General features: G+C 34.5%; 1 annotated feature.

Annotated features, from left to right (window-relative positions):
- Positions 236-782: an enhancer, noted in NCBI's record as "OCT4-NANOG hESC enhancer chr2:226989173-226989719 (GRCh37/hg19 assembly coordinates)". NCBI's record gives its function as "activates a minimal SCP1, AML or CMV promoter by ChIP-STARR-seq in primed H9 embryonic stem cells {active_cell/tissue: H9 hESC(primed)}" and the evidence as "EXISTENCE:reporter gene assay evidence [ECO:0000049][PMID:30033119]".

Here is an 8477-nt window from a genome sequence, read left to right as displayed (position 1 = left end):
AAGAGAAATATGTAATTGTAAAGTTTACCACATTAAATTTATTAACTTTGGAAAATATTTGTTTTCAAACAACTCCACTAAAAGGGAAGAGTGGATCTTATGAAATTTCTCTCTTTTTTTCCTCCAACTGGGAGACAAAATGACAGATAAATCAATTGGCCTTTTTTATATCTAATTCTCTGAAGTCTCTTACTTAGAAACTTAAATGCTTCCAGTTTTGTTTCACTGGTAACTTGCTTTTTCATCTCTGTTTACTTCACTTTTTCTTATCTTGCCACTATCCTGTGCCAAAAGTATTACAAATACACATTAATATATACCATCTGGAATATTTTTCTCAAGAAGAGAAAAGAAAAATATGAGGGCTGATGAATTTGACCCAGGGCCCCAGTCCAACATCTGTAACACCCTCTCTCTCCAACAATGCCTGCGGGACATAGCAAGTCTCTTTTAGATCTAATCTGAGCGTCATTCACCCCCTGCCTTTCCCATAATGAAAGGGCTACTCAGACACAGAGGGGTTTCCTAGGTATTTCAGGAAGTGGGGAGATTTCCACCAGACCTTTGAAGTGAAGTAGTTTGGAACTGAGGAAAAGCTTTGTCACAATCCATGAAATGGGAAGGAGATGTAGGAAGAGTAAACAGACACTGCTCTGCCACAAAAGAATAACATGGGCTGCTTTCTTCTAGCACTAGCAAAGGCTTGAATATAGTTGGAGATCTTCCATGAAGGGAATTTGGGATGCAAACACACGGTTTTACCTATTTAATTGTCTTTGAATCATACAGTTTTCTCAATGTCTGTTATAAGTATAATTTTATTGCAAGGTTCAGATTAAGATTCAAGTTTGTGTATTCCTGAGAATGATAAAAGCAGTAGTATTGAGAGGAACTCTATAGATTAAACAGAGTAGCCAAGGAAACATTATGTCAATAAAGGAATTGGCATGATAGAGATGAAAATCTCTCTCCAAATCTGATAATAGACTACTAGACTAACATATATTTTATTCCTCAAGGAAAACTATGTTACAACCAACATTTGTATAATTTTCCATTTTTTTTTATCATTTAGCAAATTGCTAAATATATTATCTTCTGTGAGTAAGCTTCAAAAATAAGATTAAATGTGATAATTTCCTGTAAAATAAAGTCTCTATTTTTTCCCACATGTTTACTGGAATATAGTTTCATAGAATATTTGAATACATACATTATTATAATAGAGTTAGGCTGGAAAAATTTGCACTTCTAAAGTCTGTGTTCCCCTGAACAATGGCTGACAGATAAGGAGGGATTGATTTAAAGTATGAAAATATGGATTTAATCTGTTGAACCAGGCCCTACCCATTTTACCTGTCTTGAATTAGAATTTTACTTTTGGCAGAAAGACCCCCCCTTTTATATGCTAGAATGCTTTCAAAAGCAATCAAGAATTCCATTACTGAGGAAGCAAGCACTAAAGTAATTGCTGCTTCTCATTTGGGAAAAACTTAGGTTCAAGTCATACACAGTCCCCTCTTGAAAAGTTTGAGAAGTGGTTGAGTTAACAAAACAAGTCAAGGTGAAAGAGAGGACTCATATCAAGACAAAACAGTATTTCTCGAAAAGAAAGAGGAGGATAATATCCTCAATTAGTTTATTTCCTGCTCTTACAATTGTGTAATTAATCTGGTCTAGCAGTTGGCATGATTCAAAGTACCGCAGAGAAACATCAGGAAGCTTTTTTTCCATTTAAATTTTATTGTGTGGCTGGCTCCTCCCTGGGAAAAAAGCCTGTTCACATGAGTTAGCCATTCCACTGACATTTGAATTTGCGAGGGAAAAGCCAAGTGTCTCTAGCATGCAGTAAAAGAAATGTGCTGAGGCCATAAATATCCTCCTGCTGATGCATGATTTAGATAGAGTTGTTTATTTAGGTAGAATGGTCATTTCTCTCCTTCTACTCCTCCTTCCTCTCTTTTCTGTTCTCCTCCTTTTCCTCCTTGCTCTTCCTCTTCTTTTTTTTGTACAGAAACCTGTTGAGACAATATGAATGCCGCTGGAGGCCATTATCCTAAGCGAATTAACATAGGATCAGAAAACCAAATACCGCATGTTCTCACTTATAAGTAAAAGCCAAACATTGGGTACTCATGGACATAAAGATGCCAACAATAGGCACTAGTGGGAAGGGAGGACAGTGGTAAGGATTGAGAAACTAATTATTGAGTACTGTGCACACTACCTGGATGACCGGATCAGTCATATCCCAAACCTCAGTATCACACAATACACCCATGTTACACACCTGCATATGCACTCCCTGAATCTAAAATAAAAGTTGAAATTATATAGAAAAGGAACCTGCTGAGAACTAGGTAACCAAAATAATGATGACTGTGATGATTAATACTGAGTGTCAATGTGATTGGATTGAAGGATGCAAAGTATTGATCCTGGGTATGTCTGTGAGGGTGTTGCCAAAGAGATTAACATTTGAGTCAGTAGGCTGGGAAAGGCAGGCCCACCCTCAATCTGGGTGGGCACAATCTAATCAGTTGCCAGTGTGGCCAGAAAAAAAAGCAGGCAGAAGAAAGTGGAAAAGACTAGACTGGCTTAGCCTCCAAGCCTACATCTTTCTCCTGAGCTGGATGCTTCCTGACCTCAAACATCAGACTCCAAGTTCTTCAGCTTTGAGACTTGGACTGGCTTCCTTGCTCCTCAGCTTGCAGATGGTCTATTGTGGGACTTGTGATCGCGTGAGTTAATGCTCCTTAATAAACTCCTCTCTCTCTCTTTTTCTCTCTATCTATCTATCAAGATAGATATAGATATATATCCTATTAGTTCTGTCCCTCTAGAGAACCCTGATTAAAACAATGACTGAATCAGAAAATGCCAGTCTGATTTGATACTGATAGTGAGAAGCTGCACAGAGATGGTATAAATGTTAAATCACACCAACTTCCTCCTCTTCTTCTTTCCCTTCTACTTCCTGTCTTCAGTTTCTTATTTTGCAACAGCCCTGAGTGTAAGATGTGCAGAGATTACTCAAAGAAGAGAGAAAAAAATGTGTCTAGGGGAATCCAATTGTTTAAATTTAATTCTGATTCTATTACCTAGTAGCAGTGTGACATGGGACAAGGCTTTTAACATCTCAACCCTGTAGGCACTGAATAATAATCTCATCATATTGTGGAAGATTTAAATAAGGTAGTATAAATTAAGCTGGAAACAGGAATTACATGTTAATTTTTTATCATTATAGCCATATTTTTTCTGCTCTATTTTTGTGTTTTTATCCTGCGTTTTCATTGTTTTTATACCATGAACTTGGACTACTTCATAGGTTTCTGCAATTTAATGGCTAAACATATTATAAAGGTCAGGAAAATAGCTTTACAAATATTGTCATATCTTTTAGAGTAAGAGGGAGGATTTATTTTGAAGTTGGCATGATGTAGTCACATTTCCTCCCTAATTTAAATTTCCATATTATATATAAATCTGAAATCTCTTTTGTTGTCTAGCAATTATAACAATATGATAGATCAGAATATATATCAGGAAGCAGACAAGCCATAAATATGTTCAATGTTTTCAAAGATGACAATTTTAAATGTGAACACTGTGGATGAGATGAAATGGAAGGAAATATGAGGCTATTAAGATGGAAGAAACCAGGAAACATTTGGATTTAATTCCATCTTGGATCCATTCCACCAAAGTTCAACATAATGCAAGGCTGAAGCAAATGATTGCTCTCCTTTGCCCTTATTCTTTTAGTCTTCTTTGTACTTTTGCACTGCAGAATTCTGTTAATGCCACATAGTTTTTAAAGGATCATATTTCAGACCAGTTAGTAATATTACTTATTTTTTTAAAGGTCGAAAAAAAAGAGAGAAAAATAAACCTAATTTCAGGCTCTAGACGAATCTGGAGGGGGTTGTTTAAAGTGTTCAAACACAAGACAGCGTTAGAGTTGTGCGGCCAAGATGAATTTTGAGGAACTAACCCTAAACAGGAAAAATGCTTTTGTAAAACACTTAATAATGATTCTTTCATGAAAAGTCCTTTGATCCAGAATAATTACAGGAAACCAGTGGAACCAATGAGGGGCTACTACTGGGGACACAAATCTAGTTGGTAATTGTTCCAGACAGTGTATCATCAACTTGTATTTTATTTAAAACTATTATTTTGCTTATTAAAAAAAGTTGAGAAGTGAATTTGATGATGGATAGAACAACACTGCATACACATCCTTATCCATCAGCTGAGTCCCATAGTTTGCATATGCAAAATAAATATCACTTCAAATCTGTAGCTAATTTTTTTTTTTTTTTTTTTTTTTTTTAGTTTTGTGGGGAGATTAAAACCACAACAAGAAAGAATAACCTGCAACATGAGTGGATACTATGGTTGCAAAAGTTATTTAATATCCATATTTCACAAATATTCAGCAAAAGATTTCTTAACAAAATTGAATGACTTTCAAATGGACTTATTTTGAATGTTTTAAAAACTATCAATTTTACCTGAAAACAACCAATTATTAGCTGATTTTAATAATTGATCTAGAGATTATATTTACAAAAAAAATATTATGGAGCCATTACATAGCATTCAAAGTCATATCACTTCACCATTAACTGAGATATAACAATTTGGGGCAACATAACATTTAATATTCTTGAAATTACCTAAATAAGACCATTTGTAATCAATAATACATTTAAATTTTCACCCTGTTGAAACGGTGGCCAAATACATGATGATTGGATGCAAAGTGCTGTGAGTTCCATAAGACAAGCATTTATCCAATATGATAAACATCAGTATAATAAAGGTATCAGGAAATTTCTAGAAGTAATCGATGATCTGTTACTCTTTGGATGAACATTGACTTGTGTTTAGGTATTAGGAATATGTGTGTGTGTGCATATACATATGTATGTGTATGTGCGTTAACGCTACACAAGATAAAGATTGTTGAATGCAAGTATAAGATTTAAAATGTTTAATTTGCATTGCTTTGTCTGCTATACATATATATTTTTAGATGAGCAAAGCTTAGACAAATTGATTTTTGTTCATATTAATAAATAACATAGCATAAGTATACTTATTTTTTCTAGTTTTATCAAAAGTTTTTCAATTTAGAAACAATTTAATGACAAAACTAAAATATTGAAACTGGACTTCAGAACAAAATCTAATCTTTTAATCAAAAGCAAACAACTAGTTTTGGCTTGAAATGTAAGACATAATGTGTATTTAACCATGCTTATTTAGGTAGAATGTCTTATCTGATCCCAAGTCTACCCCTGATTTTTCTGTGAGCTCCCAAGTTCCTATTTCCATTGCAAACTCTCATTTTCTATAAAAATGTGAACTAACCTAAATGGTTTTTCCATAGACAAAGGCCGTAAAGTCACAAAACACTGTGCCATATAGTAATTTTTAACATTTTATTGGTGTAATCAATAGCAACCTGTATTATGACTTCTTTTTCTCTTGAACAAAGAATTTTTGAGTCCCAATCAACTGAATCTTTGTGATTTTCCAGCCAAATACTTTTAAAAATACCAATTAGCCAATCTTAAAAATTGACATATAGCTGCCATTAACACAGACCTTTTTGTTGTGGGATTTTACAGATATAATATGACACTGAATCCCTGAATGTTTGACCATTAGGAAAGCATAACATTTTCATAACGTTTTTATCCACTTATTTGTCGACTAATCTAATTGATTATTCTCCTGTAGCATTTTATCCTGTTTATGAAACTCTTTCCTTAGCCACCTTTATTTTGCAAGTGCATGTCATAAATTATAAAATCAATGGCATAGCTTGTCTGGCACCCGTAAAATTGATAGCTTCCCTTTCTTTTATTAGCATAATCTGCCAATTTATTATGAAAGAGTGAATGGCATGCTTGTGATTAGAACTGGTCATGACAGGTCACTTGAAAACATATTGATGGTGTATGAGACATGCTTTTTAATTAAAATGTAGGTCTGAGCTGGCTAGGCAAACACCAGTTTCTCCTTACTCATCACATTTATTGAGTCATGTATTTGCTTATTTATAATATTTTAAATTAACAATGATGAGTCAGATTAGCATACAGAAGACATGCCCCAGAGAAAAACAGAAAAAAAGCGTGCTATTTTACTTAGGACAAGCAAAAGCATACTGCCTGTAAAAATACTGTAAGAAGGTGAGAACATTAAAAATGATAACTCGAGATGTATAAAGTTTTACCAGATTTGCCAGTCACTTTTAAACCTACCCCTGTGTATTTGCTTAATATCCACTCAATTGTCTTAAGCAAGAACAACTCCCCCACTTTCACCCACTTTCTTTCACAAAGTTATAACTTAGGCAAGAGAGTCCCAACTCCAATTGCACAATATCCTCAGGGTTACTGTGAGCTCAAAGGATGTTGTGAAATCCTCGAGGCAAAATTAATCGTGATGTGACTTAATTTTTTAAAGTGAAATGTGTACCATAAAGTACCCCTAAGAGGAGGCTTAGTGGATGATGAGGGAGGTAATGAATACAGCAAACGATTACAGGGTGTCAGAACAGCAGGACTGGGGTGGCTGGCAGTGACTACTACTTTCATCCCACAGACATCTGCGGGTGAGGGCAGCAGATGAAAAGCCGTGCATCTTCTCTGTAATTTGTATTGCCACAGCATTCCATCTTGGCCACACGATTCAGTCACACGTACTTTTGTTGATTCAGAAGAATTTCCAAAGGACAAGCTTGCACTGTTCTTGCCATGAAAGAGAGTTCTGCTACTTTTTGATGAAATTGAGAGTTAGGGTCTGGCTTTATGTTTGTTTGTTTTTGCTTGTTTGTTTTGGAATACAATCTATGATTTCTAAGCACCCCCTTTTACTTTTATTTTTACTACTAAACAAGACAAAAATATGGATCCAGTCTAAATAGGACAAATGAGAAGCAGGGGGCAAGTGTGTTTTGCCCCTGGTAGTATCTCTGACTTCTTTTAGATTTTGTGAAGTGATTGTGACATAAAAAGAATTCAAAACAATGTTTTTAAATAGAGTAGAATGCACTCAAAGTCCAGGTGTGATAGGGTAAGCATGCTATTATTTTTTGGAGATAAGTTTTGAAATGATGAATAATCAATTATAGCTATTTAATGGAGGTAATAAGTGGATCAGGTTGCTACCTTAAGCTGACATATTAATCTTTTTCAAAATCCTGCTGTGTTTCATACTTGTTATTGCCCTCAGCTCAATGTACTCTACATAGTCCAAATATAAGACATTCTAGTATAGTGGAATCTGATAGTATACAAAGCTCAATTCAGGAAGAACAGATAAGATGTGCTTGTGCCAGTCTATTCCATCCCTCCTGCAGCATTGCTACTTAACTTCTCCAGGCCCAGCGAATTCCTAGCTTGATCATAGAATTCCATTGGTAGCTTTGCATGGTTTTCAACAGTTGTCTAGGCTGCTTATTTTCCCTCACTTTCCAAATTCATCTGATCTGAGCATATATGGCTTATGCATTATAGTTTACATACTATGGTTTATGACTAAGGATGTAACGATTTTTGACTTTGTTTTATTGCACTTGAGCTATATCAAATTAAACTGGCCTTCTTGTTAATTTATCATTGGTAAAATATTTCATATGCATTTTTTTGTTAATCCTGTACTTCAAACCTACGAATAGCTTGCTTAATTGTATTTTATGAACTGAACTGCAATGACCTCATACTTTGGCTTTACCTTTGTAATAAATTGACATTAGTAAAAAAATGTTAGTAAGTAATGTGGAATATTGCTAATATCATTGGGCTTGACATTTGCTTGGAAGGAAAACTAGGAGACACATCTTTTGAAAGACAAATCCATATACAATACATTCTGTAATATTTTTCTCATACCTCCATAAATTTCCCCTTGTGGATTTTAGTCTTCTCTGTCTGATATCAGCCAACACGCTGTCTTGATGTAAGACTGTGTAGCATGGAAGAAAATGAACTTCGGCATCAAAAGGACGTGGTTTTGATTGTAGGTTCTGTCCAAACTTTTGATAAGTTATTTAACTTCTTCAAACTTCAGCTGCCTTACCTGTGAGGTGGAGATTTGATATTTACATTTTAAGGCTGTTTTAATGTCAAATGAAATAATATTTGTCTAACAACAAGGAAGGTACACAGAATCAGTAGTAGCACTAGCCCTACTATTCTATTGAAGAATCTATAGAATCATGACAAATGATCTTGATGGATCTTTTCACCATTTATGGGCCTTAAAACTTTAATGCATTCATTCATTCAATAATAATTTATTGAACAACTAACTTGGAAACATAACTACAGAAGATGAGAAGATGAGAATCAGTAACTAAGACTGATATGTTCTACTTTCTATCAGTATGACTAGTAAGAAAGGAAAATTTTAATTTTTTATTCATTTTATAAATAGTTGCATAATACTTATTATAT

The sequence above is a fragment of the Homo sapiens genome, chromosome 2, assembly GCF_000001405.40.
Source record: "Homo sapiens chromosome 2, GRCh38.p14 Primary Assembly".
Classification (NCBI taxonomy): Eukaryota; Metazoa; Chordata; class Mammalia; order Primates; family Hominidae; genus Homo; species Homo sapiens.
The sequence above is the reverse complement of the archived record's forward strand: the minus strand, read 5'-3'. Positions and strand labels throughout refer to the sequence as shown.